Source organism: Homo sapiens, chromosome 10 (genome assembly GCF_000001405.40).
Source record: "Homo sapiens chromosome 10, GRCh38.p14 Primary Assembly".
NCBI lineage: Eukaryota > Metazoa > Chordata > Mammalia > Primates > Hominidae > Homo > Homo sapiens.
Window position 1 is genome coordinate 119863215 of NC_000010.11, and position 24903 is coordinate 119888117.

The following is a 24903-nucleotide window of genomic DNA, read 5'->3' on the forward strand; positions in this document are numbered from 1 at the left end:
AGAACTCATTGCCAAACCCCAGGTCACAAAGATCTGTTTTCTTCTAAAAGTTTTATAGTTTCAGGTTTTATACTCAGATGTATGATCCATTTTGAGTTAATTTTATATAAAATATGAGGTAAAGGTTGAGGATTTTATTTTTCCATGTAAATGTTAAATTGTTCATGTCTTTGATGAAAAGAATATCCTTTTTCCATTTGAATTAGCTTTTGTATCTTTATTAAAATGCAGCGAGGGCCAGGCGGGGTGGCTCACGCCTGTAATCCCAGCACTTTGGGAGGCCGAGGCGGGCGGATCACCTGTCAGGAGTTCAAGACCAGCCTGGCCAACATGGCAAACCCCCGTCTCTACTAAAAATACAAAAATTAGCCGGGCGTGGTGGCACACGCCTGTAATCCCAGCTACTCGGGAGGGTGAGACAGGAGAATTGCTTGAACCCAGGAGGCGGAGGTTTCAGTGAGCTGAGATCGCACCACTGCACTCCAGCCTGGGAGACAGAGTGAGGCTCAGACTCAAAAAAAAAAAAAAAAAAAAAAAAAAAAAAAAAAAAAAGCAACGAAGACACAGGAATAAACCTTGAAAACATTATGCTAAGTGAGATAAGCCAGACGTAAAAGGTGAAATATTATTCTACTTGGGTGAGTTTGGATAGTTTGTGGCTGTGATCAGCAGAATAATGACCCCCTCCCACCCAACCAAGATACTGATGTTCTAATCCCCAGAACTTGTAAAGATATGTTACATAGGAATTAAGGTAGCAGATGGAATTAAGGTTAATAATCAGTTGAACTTAAAAAAAAAAACAATCTGGGTGGGTTCAATGTAATCACAACGGTCCTTAAATGTGGAAGGATGTGGCAAAAGAGGAAGTTAGAGTAAGATGTGAGAACAACTCGACTTGTTGTCTTTGAAAACGGAAGGGGGCCACAAGCCAAGAAATGTGGGCAGACTCTAGATGCAGGAAAAGAAAAGGAACAGATTCTCTCCTAAAGCCTCCACAATGGAATGCAAGTCCTGTCAACAATTTGATTTTATCCCAGTAAGACCCATGTCAGACTTCTGTCTCCAGGACTGTAAATAAAAACCTTTTGTTTTAAAGTCACTACATTTGTAATTTATTACAGGAGAAATAGAAAGCTAATACAGTGGTTTTTGAGGAACTGGTCCATTTCATCTAAGTTGATGAATTTCTATCTGTAGAGCTGTTTGTATTATCCTTTTCATGCCTGTACAGTCTACGGTGGTTATCTCCTCTTTCTTTTCTAATATTGGTAATTTGTCTTCCTTTTTTTCTTTTCTACTATTGGTAATTTGTTTTCCTTTTTTTTTTTCCTTTGCCAGTATGGCTAGAGGTTTACAATTTTATTGATTTTTTTTTTAAAGAGCTTTGAGTTTCACTGATTTTTTCTTTTTTTTCTGTTTTCTATTTCATGGATTTTTGTTCTCTATTATTTCTTTCTTCTGTTTAATTTGGGTTTATTTTGCTCTTCATTTCTAGTTTCATAGGTGGAAGCTTAAATTATTCACTTGAGACCTTCTCTTCTAATTAAGGCAGCTAATGCATCTAAGCATGTCTTTGGCTGTATCCCACAAATTTTGGTATGTTGAGTTTTCATTTTGGTTTAGTTCACAATATTCAAAGCTTTCCTTTGAGAGTTTTTAATCCATGGATTGTTTAGAAGTGTTCTTCTTATATATAAAGTTTACTATTTGGTTTATGACCCAGAATGTGGTTTATCTTGGTGAATTTACATGTGCACTTGAAAAGAATGTGTATTCTGCTGTCATTAGGTAAACAAATGTCAATTAGATCTACTTGGTTGACAGTGTTGTGTAGTTTTGTGTTGTTCAGTATTCTTTTTGATTTTCTACCCACTATTCTGTCAAGTACTGAGAGAGGAGTAGTAAAATATCTAACTACAATTGCAGATTTGCCTATTTCTTCTTTTATTTCTGCTGGTTTTTGCATCATACATTTTGAAGCTCTGTTGCTTGGTGCATATATAGTTAGGTCTTCTTGGTGAACTGACTGTTTTAACATTATATAATGTGCCTCTTGTTCTCTTCTCACACAACCTTTCTTAAAAACATTTTAGGCCAGGCGTAGTGGCTTATGCCCGTAATCCCAGCACTTAGGGAGGCCAAGGCAGGCAGATTACCTGAGATCAGTAGTTTGAGACCAGCCTGGCCAACATGGTGAAACCTCATCTCTACTAAAAATACAAAAGTTAGCTGGGCTTGCTGGTGGTACCTGTAATCCCAGCTACTTGGGAGGCTGAGGCAGGAGAATTGCTTGAACCTGGGAAGTAAAATGGTGCAGCCACTGTGGAAAAGTTTGGCAATTCCTCAAAAAGTTAAATATAAAATTATCATATGACCTTGCAATTCCATCCCTAGGTATATCTGGGAAAGAACCAAAAAGCTTACATTCACACAAAAACTTGTACATGAATGTTTATAGTAGCAGTATTTATAACAGCCAGGAAATAACCTAAGTGTCCATCAGCAAATATATGGATAAACAAAATGCAGTATAGACATACAATGGAATGTTATTTTCAGCCATAAAAAGGAATGCAGACTGGGTACAGTGGCTCACATCTGTAATCCCAGCACTTTGGGAGGCCGAGGCGGGAGGGTCACTTGAGGCCAGGAGTTTGAGTGTAGCCTGGGCAACATAGTGAGACCCCAAATCTACAAAAAATGATTTAAAAATTAGCTGGGTGTGGTAATACAGGTAATACATGCCTGTAGTCCCAGCTACTCAGGAAGCTGAGGCTGCAGGATCACTTGAGACTGGAAGTTCAAGGCTGCGGTGAACCATGATCTTGCCACACAGCATTCCAGCCTGGACGACAGAGCCAGGCTCTATCTCTTAAAAAAAAAAAAAAAAGGAATGCAGTACTGATGCATACTATGACATGGATGAACCATGAAAATATCATGGTAAATGAAAAGAAGCCAGACCTCAAAGGCCACATGTTGTATAATTCCACCTACACGAAACGTCCAGAATAGGTAAATCCATGGGCAGAAGTATAGTTGTTGCCAGAGATGGAAGACAGAAGAAATGGGAGAGACTACTAAAGGTATGGGGTTTCTTTTTGGAGTGATGAAAATGATAGGGGTGGCCGGGCGTGGTGGCTCATGCCTGTAATCCCAACACTTTGGGAGGCCGAGGCGTGTGGATCACCTGAGATCAGGAGTTCAAGAGCAGCCTGACCAACATGGTAAAACTCCGTCTCTACTAAAAATACAAAAATTAGCCAGGAATGGTGGTGCATGCTTGTGATCCCAGCTACTTGGGAGGCTGAGGCAAGAGAATCGCTTGAACCCGGTAAGCAGAGGTTGCAGTGAGCCAAGTTTGCACCACTGCACTCCAGCCTGGGCAACAGAGTGAGACTCCGTCTCAAAAAAAAGAGAAAAAGATAGTGGTGGTGATGGTTGCACAACATCATTATGAATACAGTAAAAAAAATTCAATTGTACATTTTAAAATGTTAAATTTTGTTATGTGAATTTTATTTCAAAGAAAAAAAATTTTTTTGGACCAGCCTGAGCAACATAGTGAAACACCATCTCTACGAAAATACAAAAAGTTAGCTGGGTGTGGTGGCAGGCGCCTGTAGTCCCAACTACTCGGGAGGCTGAGGCAGTAGAACTGCTTGAACCTGGGAGGTAGAGGTTGCAGTGAGCAGAGATCGTGCCACTGCACTCTAGCCTGGGTGACAGAGCGAGACTCTGTCTCAAAGAAAAAAACCTCTAAAAGCAAAAACAGTTAAAAGCGGTTACTTCAGGCAGGGCACGGTGGCTCATGCCTCTAATCCCAGCACTTTGGGAGGCCGAGGGTGGTGGATCACGAGGGCAGAGGAGGTCGAGACCATCCTGGCCAACACGGTGAAGCCCCGACTCTACTAAAAATGCAAAAATTAGCCAGGTGTGGTGGTGGTCGCCTGTAGTCCCAGCTACTCAAGAGGCTGAGGCATGAGAATCGCTTGAACCTGGGAGGGAGAGGTTGCAGTGAGCCGAAATCGCACCACTGCCCTCCAGCCTGGGCGACAGAGCGAGACTCCATCTCAAAAAAAAAAAAAAAAAAAAAAAAAAAAAGTGGTTACTTCAATGGAGGGAGCACGTACTTTCACTCAGTTCATACCATCATGTTGATTTTTTTTAAAACCATGTGTAAGTTATTATAACTTAAAAACTCCTACGTATGCCATCTGCCATGGCTGCCGGAGCTATTCTTCTTCTTTGAGAACGCCCCCAATGTTGAGGTGTGGATAACAGTCACGATTGTCCTACCTAACTCTGTGCCATGGCCACAGATGACTGATCCCTGAGTGAATGGATTCCTGACTCCATGTTGTGCCAATCAGATTTTCTATGCCTGAAAATAAAGATGCTAGCTAGCGTGGGTTGGAACCGAGAACAAGTAAATTTGGGAGACATGGAGTAGAGAAAGAGAAAGTGTGCAGAGATTAATGTATCCCAAGAGAAGAAATACTGAGTTGCTTGGATTCCTGCTAGCTTTCCAGTTCCTGATTCCACTCAGTCTCTTCGAATACCCAACCACTTCCCCTGTTCTTGGGTTTTATAGCCTTAATATAAATTAACTTTTTTCAGTGGCCTACCAAGGACAGAGTGGTAGAAGAGGTCCAAGCTGGGTACAGACAATAAGGGCACAGATTGTCTGTTTAGATTCATGGTGATAATAAAAAGCAGACCAACTAACTTTTAGTTCATTTTATTATTGCTTTAAATTCTCTAAAATGCTAGTGATAAAATAGTCTGCTCTGCCCCTCTTCACCCAACCCTGCTCTTTTTTGCATGAGCTAGTCTAGTTCTGTTAGATACAACCAAAGAAGCTTAAATATAACGAGAATAATGATCTTGGTCTAACCAATAGTTGAAGGGAAAACAGCTAAAGAGGCTGGGCGCAGCAGCTCACACCTGAGATCTCAGCACTCTGGGAGGCCAAGTGGGGGCAGATCACTTGAGGCCAGGAGTTCAAGACCAGCCTGGCCAACATGGCAAAACCCTGTCTCTATTAAAAATAGAAAAATTAGCCAGGCATGGTGGTGCACACTTTTAATCCCAGCTACTCGAGAGGCTGAGGCATGAGAATGGCTTGAACCCAGAAGGCGGAGGTTGCAGTGAGCCGAGATCACGCCACTGCACTCCACCCTGGGCAACAGAGCAAGACACTGACTCCAGAAAAAAAGAAAAGAAAAATTTTGAGATTTGTGATCTCACTAGCCATTTCAATTAACAACATTTCTGATTAATCAGTCTTTTCACTGCTTTTGTTCAACAAGTGTCCACTGAGCACTTTCAATGTACAAGGCAAATTCTAAGAAATTAGGATACAGTGGTGAATAATGCAGATACAGGGGCCCTGAATTCGCGGGGTCAAAATCCAGCAAAGGAACTTCCGAAACAAGGAATTTCAACAATGCACTTTACACACTATTTTTCAAAGACATATATAATAGGATCCTGCAGTAACATGGAGCAGGGGTACCCTACTTTGGTACCTAACTTAAGTTCCCAAAGGAAAAGTAAGACTTAGCCAGAAAAGTGGACATGGGATGGGAGGGGGAATCAGGCACAAGAAATCAGCAGATGCAAAAAGGCCTAGACACAGGTTCAAAATTAAAGAACTGAAAAAAGGTTCAGTGCGGCTGGGATGGAGTATGAGGAGGGGGTACGCAGTGATAAAGTCTCAGAGCAAGGCAAGGGTGGAGCCAACAAGGGCCTCATAAACCACTTTAAAAGTCCTGGATCAGATAGTAAGGGTAACAAGAAGTCACTGAAGGACTTGGTTCCAGTATGGCAGGTGGAAGAGAAGCAAGACTGGAGGCAAGAAACCAGTTAGAGGGCTGTTCCAGCGTCCAGGAAAGAGACTACGATGGCTTTAATTTTGACAGTAGCATTGGAGATGAGGGTCTGGGTCGGGCGCGGTGGCTCACGCCTATAATCCCAGCACTTTGAGAGGCCGAGGCAGGCAGATCACCTGTTCGAGACCAGCCTTGCTAACATGGTGAAATCCTGTCTCTACTAAAAATACAAAAATTAGCGGCTCGGTGTGGTGGCTCACGCCTACAATCCCAGCACTTTGGGAGGCCAAGGTGGGCGGATCACTAGGTCAGGAGTTCAAGACCAGCCTGGCCAACATGGTGAAACCCTGTCTTTACTAAAAATACAAAAATTAGCTGGGCATGGTGGCATGCACCTGTAATCCCAGCTACTCAGGGGGCTGAGGCAGGAGAATCACTTGAACCCAAGAGGCAGAGGCTGCAGTGAGCCAAGATTGTAACACTGCGCCCTAGCCTGAGTGACAGAGCAAGACTCAGTCTCAAAAAAAAAAAAATTAGCTGGGCATGGTGGCAGGCACTTGTAATCCCAGCTACTCCAGAGGCTGAGGCAGAATTGCTTGAACCTGGGAGGAGGAGGTTGCAGTGAGCCGAGATCACACTGTTGCACTCCAGCCTGGGTGACAAGAACGAAACTCCATCTCAAAAACAAAAAAAGCAAAAACAAAAACAAAACCCCTAGAACGGATAAGATACAGTGACCAAATTCAGATCCTGAAAGAGAGTCAGTGAGTAGCTGGTTATCCAAAAAAACTAGCATCACATACTAAAAAGCGGTGTCCTCTAGATCAGTGCTGTACAGAGAACTTCCTGATGTTAGGAATATGCTAGATCTGTGCTAATATAATAGCCCCTATCCACATGTAGCTACTGAGCACTTGAAATGTGCTAACACCGAGGAGGTGAATTTTTAATTTTGTGTAATTTTAATTAATTTACATTTAAATAGCCACACATGGCTACTGCCCTGGACAGCACACTCTAGATTATTGTGACACCTAACTTAAAATATATGACAGGGTTAATAAGTTTATACAATACTATATGACAAGGACAGTAAGAAAGGGAAAAATTCAGGCTGCTGGATGCAGTGGCTCACGCCTGTAATCCCAGCACTTTGAGAGGCCGAGGCGGGCGGATCACGAGGTCAAGAGATCTAGACCATCCTGGCCAACACTGTGAAACCCCGTCTCTACTAAAAATACAAAAATTAGCCGGGCGTGGTGGCGCGGGCCTATAGTCTCAGCTACTCCGGAGGCTGGGGCAGGAGAATCGCTTCAACCCAGGAGGCGGAGGTTGCAGTGAGCCGAGATTGCGCTACTGCACTCCAGCCTGGGTGACAGTGCGAGACTGTCTCAAAAAAAAAAAATGCATATTTCAAAATAAAATACACAACAAAACTTAACTTTTCAGTTTAAAAAAACTGTCTAAATATATGCAGAGAAAATAAACTACACAACCACGAACCAGTGGTTATCTTGAAGGTGAAGGATCTTCAAAGATCTTTCCTTTTCTGCTATATGTTGCTGAACTGCTTTTTTCTTTCTGTACAATGCATATGCATTACCTATCTGGGGGGAAAACAATTTCCTACTAAACCAAAAAGTGCCTATAAGTTATCACACAAACATACTTGTAATGCTGTTATAATAAAGATATGCAATACAATCACAGTGATACGAAAATATAGCAACAGCTTCTACGAACACATTATGACTTTTCTATAAGACACAACGTACACGGGAACAAGACATTCTGGGGAGAAACACATCAAGAAACTTCTCAGGTTCCCACAACAATCCACATAATTTATAAAATACTCTGAAGCTATTATTTTATATCTAAGTTACATCCTTCCTGTACTATGATGAGATGTGTCCCTTAGGATCATACATTTAGAAGACAAAATTTGACACAAATACATTCAAATCTCTATCAAATATGAAATCATCTCATTTATCCAGCAAAATCAGAGTATGGGGTATTTCTAATAAATAAACTTTCTAATATTAGTAACTGAAATTTAACCCTTTAAGCACCAAACCTTTTTACTTTGGAGGGATTTTTCCTAAAAAGTATCTATGCATCTGCACCCTCTTAAACCAATGCTACAATTGAATCTTCACTTGACATTTTGGGGCCATTGTGTTGACCATCGATTATCATTTCTAGAATTCTTATGAACATAAATTACTAGGATTTAGTGGAGAAATATATGCCCCTTCCTCAAAGCACCCTTGACTGCTATATAGTGAATTTTTTTTTTTTTCAAGTATGAAGGTAGTTTTAAATTTCTTCATCAGGCTGTCAGTGTTCACTGGCTAAGTTCGGACGTCTATCCAGGCTTTTTTCTAATATAATGCCATTAGTTACAGCCTGGGAAGCCAGGTAACTAAACTAATTAGAATTACAGGTAAATTAATAAGGACTTCCTGAGTAAGCACTAGAGGCCCTCCTATAAGAAATACCATACATTGTTTGCCGTCGATTTTGGCTGCTGAGGATGATTTAGCTTCCCACTGCCTTTTCTCTCTAGTACCCCAAGATGTTTTTTTCAATGAGCTAAGGCCGCTCTACAACTCTAAGTTAACTCCAGACAAGTCAGGTGTTGCCATCTACAGTGATTTCTAGCTGGATCTGACTCCGCCACTCATTACGTGTAAAAAGACACTGGGGAATGGAACGGTTGTCAAAATGCCCAGTTAACGACAACAAATATAAACTTTTCTTCGTATACCCTTCGCAGTAAAGTAGCAACAGCAATCGCAACCAAAATTTACTAAGCTCGCCTGCAGGATTCTCAGCCCTGTGTACAAACTCAAGTAGCTCAATATTTCTTGCTGGCTCTGGCACAGGAGCAGATCCAGACTAGATGGGTTCTAAAGTCATCCCAACAGGAAAACTAAGCTATGAACATTAAATCTTATCTCTGAAAGAGAGAATGAGGGTAGCACAGGAGTTAGAACCAACTTCTGTGCAAGCGAGCACTCCCCGACGCACCGGAAGTTTTGAAATATCCTGTGGGCTTCCCACAGGCAAAGTGGTTTTCCCTCCCCGCGGCTCTGCGGGCCCTCCCCAGGGTTCGAGGACCTCCGAGTTTGCTGCGCCCGGGGCCGGGGCCCTGGCCCTGCCACAGGCTGGGAGCGAGGCCGTCAATCACAGCCCGCGAATCACAGCCCGCGCCCCACGACTTCACCTTGGCGGCTCCCAAGCTGCGACTCGGGCAGGTGGGAGGTACCTGCGGCCCGGCTCCTGCCCCTGCCTGCTGCGACCGGGGGAGAGGCTGTCCCAGCTGGGGCCGGTGCAGGCCCCGGGGCCCCGTCTCGGGCCACGCGAGCCCTCGAGATGGTACCGCGTGGGGGCCGCGCGGCGGGGCCCTGCCCCGGGGCCCGGCAAACTCGGCTGCCCGCCCGGCCCGCCCCCCGGCGCCGCCACTCACCGAAGAATCCCTGCACGATTCCCAGCGGGTGGCTGAGCCAATCCTCCCCACACGGCATCTCGCCAGGGGCCGGGGCCGGCGAAGACCGGGCGGAGGCGATCCGCGGGCCGAGCGCGGCCGGGCGGCCGGCGCCCAGCTCCTCTTCAGCGGCTCGGCCGCTCCTCGCCCGCGTTCGCTCGCGCCCTCCCACGCACAGCGAGCCGCGGGGCGCGGGCCTCCCGCGCCTCAGGGAGCGGCGGCTGCGGTGGGGCCGCCGAGGAGCTGCTGGCGACAGTCAGGCGGGCGCGTACGGGCCCCTAGCCTTCACTTCGCACAATGGCGGGAAATAGCCGCCGCCGACCGCGCTGCCTGCGACCTGGGTGGAGCTCGCGTGGGGAGGGGCGGCGGGAGCGCGCGGCGCAGCGCGGCTCTGCGCGGCGAGGAGGAGGGGCGGCGGCGGCGCCGCCATCTTGGAGACGGGCAAAAGGAAGGGCACGCAGCGCCGCTGGAGGCTGCGCAGCGCGGGGCCCGGCGACGCGCTCCAAGGGCGGCGCGTTGTCGTTTGTACCCCTGGGCCGGCGTGTAGCGGGAACTCCCATAGTGGGCTTATAAGAGGGCAAAGCGAGTCTGCACAACAGCTGAAAAGCATTAAGCTCAGAGACCTCAGAGTCATCTCTGGGCAAAATTAGTGGGCGAAACCGCCTTGGGAATCCGCCCACCTCCTCTTCGTGCCTTTTTTTTCTTTTTTTGCTGATGGCAGCACTTTTATTTGGGTCCCCGGCCCGAAACCCTGAGTGGTGACTTTTCCCTCAGCTGCACAAGGTCTCCCTGAGGAAGGTGCACATTTAGAGAAGGGGAACCTCGGAGGACCCCACGCTCCTTCTGCAGTCGCGTCAGGCCCTGTGGCTCAGGGACGGTTCCTTACCGAGGGGCGGGCGCTCTAAACGCTCCGGGCCCGGCCTGCGCCCTGGTTGCGAACACCGGGTCGGCGTCTGTCTGGAAGCTGGCAGCCGCCGTCGGGGAGCGGTGCGAGGCTCCTGCACTGCGCGCCGCTAGGATACCCTGGAGAAGGAAGCTACGAAGACCGACTACAGCAGCCTTTTGCTGAGGCAATTTGGAAAATACCCAAGTTCAAGAGTGAAACTGTGGGAGTCGCTCTGAACCTCTTCTGGTTCAGGAGGCTGTCCGATAAAAAAGAAAAAAAGAATGAAACTGTGTCTCCCCTGGGCCTGAAATGTACCTAAGAAAACCCCAGGCCCATCAGATATATCTACTCAATGAAAAAAGGGCATGGTGACGGAAGGGGAATGACCTGAATGGAATCTACAAAGTGAGGAGCTGAAGGAAAAAAACGGAACCCGTGTCTCAAACCCTCCTTGGGGCTGTAGGAAGGGGGGAAAATCTTTCTACCTTTCTAGGTTCTCCACTGCGGCCCTTATCACAAAGCTCGGATTGGCAAAAGAAAAATTTAGTAACATGTACATCTTATATGGGCAAAACTCAAGGAAGAGTAACTCAAACAGGTGGCTTAGAATGGGGGAATTACGTAGCATTTACAATAAAGAACAATAACTGGGGAGAAATGGCGAAAGCAGTTTGAAGTTTCCAAAAACAGCAGAGTGGGAAGGCAGAGATACGAGAAACTAATGGTAGTTACAGGTAGTGAGTAAAGTGTGTTATGTAGGTTCTTCTAGCGCCATCGCTGGCTGATAAGGGTCTAAAGTTGTCTCTGGTGACTAACTTTTGTCCCTGGTAGAAAGAGGAGGTGGGACACCTTTGAAAATGTATGTCCTGCTCTTAGGTACATAGTGGAAGGGTAGGGAGCTTGTTTTGTACAGATGCTCCTCTACTTACTCTACTTAGGATGGAGTTACATCCCAATAAACCCATTGTAAATTGAAAATATCATTAGTTGAGGCCCAGCGTGGAGCCTCACTCCTGTAATCCCAATACTCTGGGAGGCCAAGGCGGGCGGATCATGAGGTCAAGAAATGGAGACCATCCTGGCCAACATGGTGAATCCCCATCTCTACTAAAAATACAAAAATTAGCTGGGCCTGGTGGCGCACGCCTGTAGTCCCAGCTACTCTGGAGGCTGAGGCAGGAGAATCACTTGAACCCGGGAGGCGGAGGTTGCAGTGAGCCAAGATCATGCCACTGCACTCCGGCCTGGTGACAGAGCGAGACTCCGTCTCAAAAAAATAAAATGTCATTAGTTGAAAATGTGTTTAATACACGGAACCTATCAAACATCAGTAGGCTACTGCAAACATGCTCAGAACACTTACATTAGCCTACGGTTGGGCAAAAGCATCTAACACAAAGCCCGTTTTATAATAAAATGTTGAATATCTCATGCAATTTATTGAATACTGTACTGAAATTTAAAAACAGAATGGCTGTGTGGGTAATTGAAGTATGGTTTCTACTGAATGGGTGTTGCTTTCACACCATCATAAAGTCAAAAAATCTTGTCAAACCACCGTTAAGTTGGGGACTGTCTGGATCTACTTTTCAGTTACCAAGATAATAATATTATAATTAAATTAATAATATGAAAATAATCCTTATGCCAAAGTGGCACATTTTGGGGTGACATTCTGGTTTACTTCAGGGCAAAAACGAATAGTTTGTATTTCTTAGTGTAAGGTAATTAATTGACACACTCAATTGTACATCTGGTTCCTGTGAGTTTGGGTACGTTGAGAAAACTTGAGTTTCAAATCCAGGTCATTACCACCATTCCATTCATTCATTTAAGAGACAGGGTTGCCAAGACCCTGGCATCAAAAGGGGAAATCCCATATTTTCGCTTCATGGCCAGTAACAGGCAAATTAAATGTATGATATGGAAATGTCTGCTCTTAAATCCCTGTAAATTCAAATTTACTTTATCTAAATTGCAGCTTGATACCAATTCAGCAGTGGCTAGTGTAAGGGAGGAAAAATATCTTTTCCGTCTACCCTTCTAGATTCTACGTTGGACCCCCTGTAACAAAAGATAGATTAACAAGAGAAAAGCATGCACTTTATTTCATACACGTTTTACAAGAAATGGGAGCCTTCATAAGGAAATGAAGATCCAAAGAAGCGTTAAAACCAAGTGTTTTTATGCTAGGTTTGATGAAGAGAGTCATAGAAGAATGTGATAGGACAAAGGTTGTGAGCTAAGTCCAGCAAACTAGGGGAAATTTAGCAAGGCCTGTGCATTAGATTCCTTTCCGTGTCCCTTCATCTTTAAGATAGGATGCTCCTGTCCTCCAGGAAGAGGGAGGGCAGCTCTCATGTCAGGGTCTTATAATCTGCTTCAGGGGAAGGCCAGGGAGCCTTTCCTGCATGTGCTATTTCTCAAATTCCTTCAGCTTAAAATACTTAATATGCCAAGGTGCCATATTTTGGGGTAGCAAGTCGTGAATCCCATCTCTGTGAAAACTTCTTTTGGTTTCTTCCTTGGTAGAGTATTTAGTGATTTATAAAAAAAAAATTGCTCGGATTTTACTTAAGGAGACACTGTGATCCTTCTGAAATGTAATTATTTTATAATGTGAATAATTTAACCCTCTGATTTTTCTGTGGCAAGACGTTTTGATACTAAGTAGTTATGGAGCTGGGGGAGGTAGTGTGCACTTGTAGTCTCAGATACTTGGGAGACTGAGGTGGGAGGATCACTTGAGCCCAGGAGTTCGAGGTTACAGTGAACTATGATCGCACCACTGCACTCCAGCCTGGGAGACAGAGGAACACTCCATTTCTAAAAATAATAACAATGACAATAATAATAAGTAGTCATGAAAATGTAAAAGGCCAGGGGAGTGTTCATGAAGGTCTGTTTCTATGGCAAGATTTCTTTTTTCCCACTATCAGTAACCACACTTCTGCCCCGACCGCGAGCCTGTATTTTTATGGAGGGCATTAAGTAACTCTGTCTATAAAAAATTACTGAGAGAGCAGCCAGGCGCGGTGGCTCACGCCTGTAATCCCAGCACTTTAGGAGGCCGAGGCGGGCGGATCACGAAGTCAGGAGATCGAGACCATCCTGGCTAACATGGTGAAACCCCGTCTCTACTAAAAAAAAATACAAAAAATTAGCTGGGCGTGGTGGCACGTGCTGGTAGTCCCAGATACTTGGGAGGCTGAGGCGGGAGAATTGGGGGAACCCTGGGGGTGGAGGTTGCATTGAGCCGAGAGCGTGCCACTGCACTCTAGCCTGGGCGACAGAGTGAAACTACGTCTCAAAAACAAACAAAAAAACAAAAACAAACAAAAAAATTACTGAGAGAGCACTGGAAATATGGGGTGAAAAAAGAGATTCCATCTCTGCCCTCATGGAACATACAGTCTAGCAGAAGACTTATTACTAATTACTCACGAGAGGTGCTAGGCAAGAATAGATGAATATTTATAAGAGGAATAAACAGATGTGTATATGTTCTAGTGAGGGAATGCTAAGGGTTGAATGTGTCCCCCAGAGTTTGGGTGTTGGAAACTTAATCCCCAATGCAACAGTGTTGAGAGGTAGGAACTTTAAGGGGCAGGGGCAGGGCCCTTATGAAGGGATTAATGTCACTATTGCAGGAGTGGGTTGGTTATAAAAGTGAGTTTGGCTCTTTCTTCCGCGTGTGTGCAGGCACGCACAGACACACACTCACACACATGCGTGCTCTTGCTTATGCTCTTTCACCTTCTCTCACCCTTTTTCCCTTTGCCTTATGATGATGCAGCAAGAAAGCCCTTGTCAGATGCCAGCATGTTGATATTGAACTTCCCAGCCTCCAGAACTGTGAGAAATAAATTTATTTATTTATTATTATTATATATATTTTTGAGACAGAGTTTGGCTCTTATTGCCCAGGCTGGAGTGCAATGGCGCGATCTTGGCTCACCGCAACCTCCGCCTCCCAGGTTCAAGCGATTCTCCTGCCTCAGCCTCCTGAGTAGGTGGGATTACAGGCATGTGCCACCATGGCCGGCTAATTTTGTGTTTTCAGTAGAGACGGGGTTTCTCCATGTTGGTTAGGCTGGTCTCAAACTCCTAATCCCAGGTGATCCGCCTGCCTCAGCCTCCCAAAGTGCTGGGATTAGAGGCGTGAGCCACCGCGCCCAGCCAATAAATTTTCTTTATAAATTACCCAGTCTGTGGCAATGTTATGGCAGCACAAAATGCTCTAAAACAAGAGAATGGGGAAGAATTGTGGGGTAGGAGAAAAGGATGCTTCAGGGCTTCTCTGAAAATGTGACACTTACACTAGAATTTGAAAGATAAATAACAGTAAATTAGGTGAAAATTGTGGGGGAAAGATTTTTAAGCTTTAAGACTGCAAAAACAAAAACTTGTACAGGAAAACTAAAATAGTTACAATTTAGTATATGACTTGCTATTAAAAGTGTTTACATAGTCACAATAAAGTTAAAATTTGAACATTGATCTAACCAACTTTATAGTTAACTATATTGGGAGGCTGGGGGGATGCGAAGGACTCACATATGTGATGATGACCAAGAAGATAAAAAAGAGAAAAATCCTAATCTTTCTTCTGAAAAATTAACAGATAATACAATGGAGGAAAAAAGGAAAAATTACAAGTAGCAATGGAATCATGTTAATTTAGAAATATAGCAATACTGAAAGAATCAGCTTAAAGAGGTAAAAGTAGTTGCCTCCAGGTTGCGCTAAATGGGGTAAACATTTGCTAGTTTTCTGTGTACTTATCAAAAATGCAATCCCAACTAGATTTTCCACTAGGTTATAAGATCCCTGAAGCAATGATTTTGGTATTTGTATGTTTTGTTTCCCAGCACCTAGAATAGTACCTGATTTATAAAAGATGCTCAATGAATAGTTGCTGAATGAATAATGCCCACTTTCTATAAACTGCCTAAATATCATCTCTAGATATTTAGACACATCAGATATTTAGACACACTACTTCATTTTCTTGGACCTCTTTTCCAGAGTCTTTTGACCTATTCCAATCTGGACTTGCTGCCTTTTACTTCTGGTCCAAAATCGTCTTCCTAGGATCTTCTACCACCATTACCTTAAAGATTATCTTTTTTTCCTCTTTTTTCTTTTTATTGAGGCCTCAGAAAAAAACTGTTCTCCTCTTCTTCCATAGTTACAGATAGGTTGCCCAGCGAAGAACTGCATTTCTCACCTATAGAGATGTAGCTGAGGTTGGTTTCCTAGCAAGGAACCACATTTCCCAGACTTCTTTGCAGCCAGATAAGGCTGTGTGATTAAGTTCTTACCAGTGAACTCTGAGTGAGTGAGATGTTTGGAACTCCCACTTCTATTTCTTTTTTTATAGTGACAACACCTTACGTTGCCCAGACTGGTCTCAAACTCCTGGGCTCAAGCAATTCTCCTGCCATGGCCTCCCAAAGTGCTGGGATTACAGATGTGAGCCACTGTGCCCAGCCCAACTTCCATTTTTTAGGGGAAAAAGATTTGGCCCTGCATGTTTTTTCCTCCTTCCTGATGCATAGGAGGGTGATGACTAGAATGACCTGCTTAAAGACACCTTGGATTTTTATGTGAACATTGCAGTCTGAGGTCTCTTTATACAGCTGCCAGCATTTGCTCTTATTAGTTCAGAAATTGGTATCAGAAGTGAGATGGTATCATAACAAACAGAAAATAATGTGGCTCTAATTTCGTGGTCAGATAGTGGGTGGTGATACATGAAAGCAGAATGCTCCAGAAAAATAAGGGGATGATTTGATTCAGGCTGTTGCAAGCGGGAGAGCATTCATTCATGAGCATCTCAAACAGGAGGGTTAATATTTGGGGCTTTATAAAAACAAAGGAATCATTGTGGAAGGGTGGAGGCAGGTCTTATGTTGGAATATGCAAGAGCAAAGTGGTCCTTTGCAATTAACCCTGTCTTAGAACACAAAAAGGTAGGGGGGATTCCTGAACTGTTTCTGTTTTTTGGGGGTAGGCAAAAAATAGGGAAGATGGCACTCATTGACCGAGTCACAACGTATCTGGTCTAATTGCTGCAGAGGTTGTGGGTCAGAGTTTTATTGTTAACTATAGCCTGACTGCTGGGCACAGTGGCTCCTGCCTGTAATCCCAGCACTTTGGGAGTCCAAGGTGGGCGAATTGCTTGAACCCAGGAGTTCGAGACCAGCCTGGGCAATGTGGTGAAACCCTGTCTCTAACAATAATATGAAAATTAGTTGGTGTGTGCCTGTAGTCCCAGCTACTTGGGGATGAGGTGGGAGGATCACTTGAACCCAGGAGGTTGAGGCTGCAGTGAGCCGTAATTGTGCCACTGCACTTCAGCTTGGGTGACAGATTGAGACCCTGTCTAAAAAAATAAAAATTAAATATAATCTGACCATTGTCTGTTTGTATATGCAGTTTGCTTAGAAATATTGTGCAAGCCATGTATGTAATTTAAAAGTTGTCAGCAGTCATACTTTAAAAAGTAAAAATAAATAGGTAAATTATTTTTAATTTTTTTATTTTTTGAGATGGAGTCTCACTCCGTTGCCCAGGCTGGAGTGTAGTGGTGTGATCTTAGCTTACTGCAACCTCCACCTCCCGGGTTCAAGTGATTCTCCTGCCTCAGCCTCCTGAGTAGCTGCAATTACAGGCACGTGCTACCACGCCTGGCTAATTTTTGTATTTTTTGTAGAGGCTAGGTGATTCACCCGTCTCGGCCTCCCAAAGTGTTGGGATTACAGGCGTGAGCCACCATGCCCAGCCATAAATTAGTTTTTATAGTATATTTAACCCAGCATGTCAAAAATAATACAATTTGAAAAAAGAATCAATACAAATATTATTAATATGATATTTTACTTTGTTCCCTGAAGTCTTTGAAATTCTGTATGTATTTTATACTTATAGCACTTCTCACTTCAGATAGTCATATTTCTAGTGCTCACTAGACACGGGTGGCTAGAGGCTACCAGATTGGACAGCACAAGAGATGTTAGAACGTTACAGGACTGGAAATGCTAATCAATTCAATATTCAAATCACAGGAGGTAAAATTTTTGCTGAAAACTATTTTCAAGGGTCCTTTGAGACTTCTTGGGTAATCAGAAGAATCCAGCCTTACAGCAAAGTTCAAATCAAGGATGGTCCTCTCCTACTGGAGGCTATTTCAAATCACTTCAAGTTAACCCCCAGTTAGGCTGAAAAATGAGCTTGAATCAGATAAGGAAGTAAAGAATTCGGAATGGACTGGAAATAAAAATACCAGGAGCAGGGCCTGAAAAAGCCAGCAACTGTCCAGCCTAGGCAACATAGGGAGATCTCACCTCTACAAAAATTAAAATAAAATAAATGAGCCAGGCATGTGGTCCAGCTACTCAGGAGGTGGAGGTGAAAGGATCGCTTGGGTCTGGGAGGTTGAGACTGCAGTGAGCTGTGATCACGCCACTGTGCTGCAGCCTGGGTGACACAGCAAGATCCTGTTTCAGAAAAAAAGAAAGAAAAAAAGCAAAAAAGCTAGGAACTTGTGCAGGCCTCAAAAGCAAGTCTTAGGCCTCAAACTTTTACCAGCAAGAAATGGACTGCCAAAGAGAGACAGACATGCTTCCTGATGCCACTTTTTTTTTTTTTTTTTTTTTTTGAGATGGAGTCTTGCTCTGTTGCCCAGGCTGGAGTGCAGTGGCATGATCTCAGCTCACTGCAACCTCCGTCTCCTGGGTTCAAGCAATTCTCCTGCCTCAGCCATGAGTAGCTGGGACTACAGGCATGCGCCACCACACCTAGCTAATTTTTGTATTTTTAGTAGAGATGGGGTTTCACCATGTTGGCCAGGCTGGTCTTGAACCCCTGACCTCAAATAATCTGCTCACCTTGGCTTCCCAAAGTGTTGGATTACAGGTGTGAGCCACCATGCCTGGCTCTGATGCCACTTAAAATTTTTTTTGAGACAGGGTCTCACTGTGTCACCTAGGCTGGAGTGCAGTGGTGCAATCACAGCTCACAGCAGCTTTGACCTCCTGGGCCCAAGTGATCCTCCTGCTTCAGTCTCCAGAGTATCTGGGACCACAGGCATGCACCACCATGCCTGGTTATCTTACTTTATTTTATTTTATTTGAGTAGAGACAGGGTCTTGCCATGTTGCCCAGGCTGGTCTTGAATGCCTGGGCTCAAGTGATCCTCCTGCCTCGACCTCCCAAAGTACTGGGATTACAGGCGTGAACCACTGCACCTGACCCCCTAATGCCACTTTAGATATGGCCAAGGAAGATCATGGATCAGGAGACATCTCCCTGTGTTCGTCTGCTTTTTATGTCGCTATAAATACCTGAGGTTGGGTCATTTATGAAGAAAAGAGGTTTAATTGGCTCACGGTTCTGCAGGCTGTACAGGAAGCATGGTGCTGGCATCTGCTTCTGTTGAGGTCCTCAGGAAGCTCACAATCAGCCAGGCGCGGTGGCTCATGCCTGTAATCCTAGCACTTCGGGAGGCCGAGGCAGGCGGATCACAAGGTCAGGAGATCGCGACCATCCTGGCTAACATGGTGAAACCCTGTCTCTACTAAAAATACAAAAAAAAAAAAAAATTAGCTGGGCGTGGTGACGGGCACCTGTAGTCCCAGCTACTTGGGAGGCTGAGACAGAAGAATGGCGTGAACCCAGGAGGCGGAGCTTGCAGTGAGCTGAGATGGCACCACTGCACTCCAGCCTGGGCGACAGAGCGAGACTCTGTCTCAAAAAAAAAAAGAAAAAGAAAAAGAAGAAAAAAGGAAGCTCATAATCATGGCAGAAGGTGAAGAGAGGGCAGGTGCATCACATTGCAAAAGTGAGAGCAAGCGAGAGAGGGGCGCAGGTACCATACTCTTTTATTTTATTTTTTATTTTTATTTTTTGAGACAGAGTCTCGCTCTGTTGCCCAGGCTGGAGTGCAGTGGTGCGATCTCAGCTCACTGCAAGCTCCACTTCCCAGGTTCATGCCATTCTCCTGCCTCAGCCTCCCAAGTAGCTGGGACTACAGGCACCCGCCACTATGCCCGGCTAATTTTTTTGTATTTTTAGTAGAGACGGGGTTTCACTGTTAGCCAGGATGGTCGCGATCTCCTGACCTCGGCCTCCCAAAGTGCTGGGATTACAGCCATACTCTTTTAAATGACCAGATCTTGCCTGAGCGTAGAATGAAAACTCATTATTGTGAGGACAGCACCAAAGTGCAAGACATCCATGAGGGATCTGAGCCCCTGACCCAAACACCTCCCACCAGGTCCCACCTCCAATATTGGGAATCACATTTCAACATGAGATTTGGAAGGGACAAACACCTAAACCATAGTACTCCCAGAGAGCAAAGCCAGTGCCTCAGAGGACTGTAGACTTAGGAGTTATTTCCAGGGGGCCAGGGAGTTATTAATATACAAGAGGCAGCTGGACAAACCATGACAATTTTCCACTGTCAGAGCAGGGAGTATTTCCAATTCATGCCTATCAGGATTCAATCATTTCTATGAAAGTGATTGCTGTGTTTTCCATTTCTCCTTTTTTCCAGTGGGGGCTTGATGGAAGTTACGTTGTTCTTGCTCCACTATTGGCTATTGGGCATCTTAAAGTCATGGTTCACTAGACTATAAAGAGCCACATTTGGACACAGTCAAAAGGGCTGAGCTACACTCAAAGATCCTGGACTTTTACGTTGGATATAGGTGGTTGCCTCCCTTGGGAAGGGACATAGACATATGTTCTATGTCTGGGAAGGGTGGGAATATGCTAGCCAGAGGGGCAGACTGTGGTGGCAATTGTCATTCCCCACCAAATCTTCTTCGTCCACAGTTATATGTAGTTAGAATGTAGTTATCCAGGTGGGGACTGTATTTACCAGCTTTTCGTGCACCCAGACATGCCTTTTGTGGAAGTTCTCATCAATGGAATGTGAACAGAAAGGATGCAACTTCTGCCCCACTTGTTAAGATGAAATATTTGCCCCTCAACTGCTTTGACCCTTCCTGCTAACTTGGATGGCAACAACTAGAGCAGCCTTGGCAGCCCTATGTTGAGGACAGAAAGCTGGTCACCAACAGGTACTCTTATGTGAGTTAGGGCTGAGCTTCTATCATGTTTGAGCCATTGCATTTTTGGGTCTTTCTGTTAAAGTAGCTTACTGTCCCCTACTATACCTTGGAGCAGTTACTTTAGAAAGCTTGGAATTATAAACCCTTCCTCTGCTACTTGAAGATGTAAATCTTTTACTGCACCAATCAGCACTGTGTAAAAATATACCAGTCAACACTCTGTGTCTAGCTAAAAGATTGTAAATGCACCAATCAGCACTCTGTAAAATGGACCAATCAGTGCTCTGTAAAATGGACCAATCAGCACTCTGTAAAATGGAACAATCAGCAGGACGTGGGCAGGGACAAATAAGTGAATAAAAGCTGGCCACCCCCAGCCAGCAGTGGCAACGTGCTCAGGTCCCCTTCTACACTGTGGAAGCTTTGTTCTTTTGCTCTTCACAATAAATCTTGCTGCTGCTCACTCTTTGGGTCCGTGCCACCTTTAAGAGCTGTAACTCCACAAAGGTCCGTGGCTTCATTCTTGAAGTCAGCAAGACCAAGAACTCACTGGAAGGAACCAACTCTGGACAAATCTTGGCAACCACGAAGGGACTATTGCCAAGCTGCCAAGCAGTGAGTAACAACGGACCTCTTTTGCTTGCTATTCTTTCCTATGTTTCCTTAGAATTTGGGGGCTAAATCCTGGGCACCTGTCGGCCAGTTAAACTAGCATGGCTGCTGGACTAAAGAAATGGGTGTCAGGCTTTCTGGGAAAGGGCTCTCCAACAACCCCGACTCTTTGGAGTTGGGAGTGTTGGTTTGCCTGGAACCAGCTTCCACTTTTCCTGTACTTCTGGGCTGAGCCGAGGGTTGACTGACAGGAAAGCCACTCAGCTCCAGGGTCCCAACAAAAAGTTGGTTGGCCCTGTAGCCATGAGTGGAACTCTCAAAGTCACGTCGCCCAAGTGAGACTTGCTCATCTATCCTATCTATCCTGACCCTTGCCTCCTGGGTCCTAACGCCTGTCAGACAAACTTCCTCTTGCCTCTCTTCTCCAAGGCTAGTCCTGCTTCTAAAAACCACTCCCTGCCTCTGGTGCTTTTCTAGTTTCTCCTATAAGAATGATTTCTAGTATAAACTTCAGGACTCTGTTCCCTTCCTTAGGCACCTGGGCTCACCAATCAGAAAGACATAATTTTTGTGCAAAGCCCCATCAGGTGAGGAGACCAACTATCCTTTTAGGATCCCTCCTCAAACAAGCAGGCCTAACAAAGCCTATTCCTGAAGCTAGGATATGGGGAGCCTCAGAAATGTTATCCTTCCTATTCATATAATGAGAAGTGAGGACAAAAGTCACTCTTCCAACCCTGGAGATCCCTTCCTTTCCTCAGGGTATAGCCCTCCACTTCAGTTTTGGGGCATAACACCTTTATAGGACAGGGGTAAGTTCCCAATACTAACAGGAGAACATTTAGGACTCTAATTTTCGAGAATGCTTCGGTAAGGGCCACTAAATCCAACCTTCCTTGGTCCTCTTTGTGGTCTAAGAGGAAAACTGGGGTTTCTGCTGCTGCGTTGGCGAGTGCAACTATTCTGATCAGCAGGGTCCAGGGACCATTGCGGGTTCTTGGGCAAGAGGGGTTTCTGCTGTGTCAGTGAGCACAACTATTCTGATCAGCAGGTTCCAGGGACCATTGCAGGTTCTTGGGCAAGAGGGGGAAAACAAACAAACCAAAACTACAGGCAGTTTTTTCTTTCAGATGGGAAACACTCAGGCACCAACAGCCTCACCCTTGAAATGCATCCTAAGCCACTGAGACCAATTTGACCCACAAACTCTGAAAAAGAAGCGGCTCACTTTTTCTGCACTGTGGCCTGGCCCCAATATTCTCTCTCTGATGGGGAAAAATGGCCACCTGAGGGAAGTATAAATTACAATACTATCCTGCAGCTTGACCTTTTCTGTAAGAGGAAAGGCAAATGGAGTGAAATACCTTATGTTCAAGCTTTCTTTTCATTGAAGGAGAATCCACAACTATGCAAAGCTTGCAATTTACCGTCCACAAGAGGAATTCTCAGCTTACCCCTATATCCTAGCCTCCCTATAGCTCCCCTTCCTATTAATGATAAGCCTCCTCTAATCTCCCCCACCCAGAAGAAAACAAGCAAAGAAATCTCCAAGGGACCACAAAACACCCTGGACTATTGGTTATGTCTCCTTCAAGCTGTAGGGGGAGGAAAGTTTGGCCCAACCTGGGTACATGTCCCCTTCTCCCTTTCTGATTTAAAGCAGATCAAGGCAGACCTGGGAAAGTTTTCAGATAATCCTGATAGGTATACAGATGTCCTACAGGGTCTAGGGCAAACCTTCGATCTCACTTGAAGAGATGTCATGCTATTGTTAGATCAAACCCTGGCCTTTAATGAAAAGAATGCAGCTTTAGCTGCAGCCTGAGAGTTTGGAGATACCTGGAAAGGGACAAATTCCCTACCGATCAGCAAGCTGTCCCCAGTATGGATCCCCACTGGGACCCTGACTCAGATCACAGGGACTGAAGTCACAAACATCTGTTGACCTGTGTTCTGGAAGGACTAAGGAGAATTAGGAAAAAGCCCATGAATTATTCAATGATGTCCACCATAACTCAGCGAAAGGAAGAAAATCCTTCTGTCTTCCTTGAGTGGCTATGGGAGGCCTTAAGAAAATATACTCCCCTGTCACCCGACTCACTCGAGGGTCAATTGATCCTAAAAGATAAGTTTATTACGCAATCAGCCACAGATATCAGCAGAAAGCTCCAAAACCGAGCCCTGGTCCCTGAACAAAATCTGGAGGTATTATTAAACCTGGCAACCTTGGTGTTCTATACTAGGGACCAAGAGGAACAGGCCAAAAAGGAAAAGCGAGATCAGAGAAAGGCTGCAGCCTTAGTCATGGCCCTCAAACAAACAAACCTTGGTGGTTCAGAGAGGACAGAAAATGGAGCAGGCCAATCACCTGGTATGGCTTTTTATCAGTGTGGTTTGCAAGGACACCTTAGAAAAGACTGTCCAACAAGAAACAAGCTGCCCCCTCGCCCATGTCCACTATGCCGAGGCAATCACTGGAAGGCGACTGCACCAGAGGACAAAGGTTCTCTGGGCCAGAAGCCCCCAAACAGATGATCCAACAACAGAACTGAGGGTGTCCGGGGCAAGCGCCAGCTCATATCATCACCCTCACTGAGCCCTAGGTATGTTTAACTATTGAGGGCTGGGAAATTGACTTCCTCCTGGACACTGGTGTGGCTTTCTCAGTGTTAATCTCCTGTACTGGACAGTGTGCTCAAGGTCTGTTACCATCTGAGGAGTCCTGGGACAGCCTGTAACCAGGTATTTCTCCCACCTCCTCAGTTGTAACTGGGAGACTTTGCTCTAAACATGCCTTTCTTGTTATGCCTGAAAGTCCCACACCCTTATTAGGGAGGGACATATTGGCCAAAGCTGGAGCTATTATCTACATGAATATGGGGAACAATTTACCCATTTGTTGCCCCCTGTTTGAGGAGGGAGTCAACCCTGAAATATGGGCATTGGAAAGACAATTTGGAAGGGCAAAAAATGCCCACCCACTCCAAATCAGGCTAAAAGACCCCACCACTTTTCCTTATCAAAGACAATATCCCTTAAGGCCTAAAGCTCATAAAGGATTACAGGATATTGTTAGACATCTAAAAGCTCAAGGTTTACCAAGAAAATGCAGTAGTCCCTGCAACACCCCAATTCTAGGAGTACAAAAACCGAATGGTCAGTGGAGACTAGTGCTTAGATCTTAGACTCATCAGTGAGGCAGTAATTCCTCTATATCTAGTTGTAACCAACCCCTATACCCTGCTCTTTCAAATACCAGAGGAAGCAGAATGGTTCACTGTTCCTGACCTCAAGGATACCTTCTTCTGTATTCCCCTGCACTCTGACTCCCAGTTTCTCTTTGCCTTCGAGGATCCCACAGACCACACGTCCCAACTTACGTGGATGGTCTTGCCCCAAGGGTTTAGGGATAGCCCTCATCTGTTTGGTCAGGCACTTGCCCAAGATCTAGGCCACTTCTCAAGTCTAGGCATTCTAGTCCTTCAGTATGTGGATGATTTACTTTTGGCTACCAGTTTGGAAGCCTCATGCCAGCAGGCTACCCTAGATCTCTTAAACTTTCTAGCTAATCAAGGGTACAAGGCGTCTAAATCGAAGGCCTAGTTCTGCCTATAACGAGACAAATATCTAGGCCTAATTTTAGCCAGAGGAACCAGGGCCCTCAGCAAGGAACGAATACAGCCTATACTGGCTTATCCTTACCCTAAGACATTTAAACAGTTGTGGGGGTTCCTTCGAATCACTGGCTTTGCTGACTATGGATCCCTGGATACAGTGAGATGGCCAGACCCCTCTATACTCTAATCAAGGAGACCCAGAGGGCAAATACTCATCTAGTAGAATGGGAACCAGAGGCAGAAACAGCCTTCAAAACTTTAAAGCAGGCCCTAGTACAAGCTCCAGCCTTAAGCCTTCCCACAGGACAAAAACCTCTCTTTATATGTCACAGAGAGAGCAGGAATAGCTCTTGGAGTCCTTACTCAAGACTTGAGG

General features: G+C 45.0%; 1 protein-coding gene across 6 annotated transcripts in view, besides 4 other annotated features; it reads right to left on the reverse strand.

Annotated features, from left to right (window-relative positions):
* Positions 1-10367, reverse strand: part of MCMBP (minichromosome maintenance complex binding protein) — a 44142-nt gene extending 33775 nt beyond the window's left edge. For 4 of the 6 annotated variants that reach the window (XM_017016663.2, NM_001256378.2, XM_005270157.5 and 1 more), the window contains exon 1: positions 9313-9629. In XM_017016663.2, coding sequence (XP_016872152.1) covers positions 9313-9370 — 58 coding nt within the window. In that variant the 5' untranslated portion in view covers positions 9371-9629. Of the gene's footprint in view, positions 1-9312; positions 9630-10216 lie in introns of those variants that run through there. The other 2 variants (NM_001256379.2, XM_011540170.2) reach the window with 1 other exon arrangement.
* Positions 9084-9733: a silencer, noted in NCBI's record as "silent region_2884". NCBI's record gives its function as "represses an Ori minimal core promoter by ATAC-STARR-seq in GM12878 lymphoblastoid cells {active_cell/tissue: GM12878}" and the evidence as "EXISTENCE:reporter gene assay evidence [ECO:0000049][PMID:35858748]".
* Positions 9964-10123: an enhancer, noted in NCBI's record as "active region_4133". NCBI's record gives its function as "activates an Ori minimal core promoter by ATAC-STARR-seq in GM12878 lymphoblastoid cells {active_cell/tissue: GM12878}" and the evidence as "EXISTENCE:reporter gene assay evidence [ECO:0000049][PMID:35858748]".
* Positions 9964-10158: a biological region, named in NCBI's record as "ATAC-STARR-seq lymphoblastoid active region 4133".
* Positions 9989-10158: an enhancer, noted in NCBI's record as "experimental_10275 CRE fragment used in MPRA reporter constructs". NCBI's record gives its function as "activates a minimal promoter by MPRAs in K562 erythroleukemia cells, with activity observed for both the introgressed and non-introgressed 10:121632800 variant alleles {active_cell/tissue: K562}" and the evidence as "EXISTENCE:reporter gene assay evidence [ECO:0000049][PMID:34662402]".
* Positions 10368-24903: the final 14536 nt, after the last annotated feature.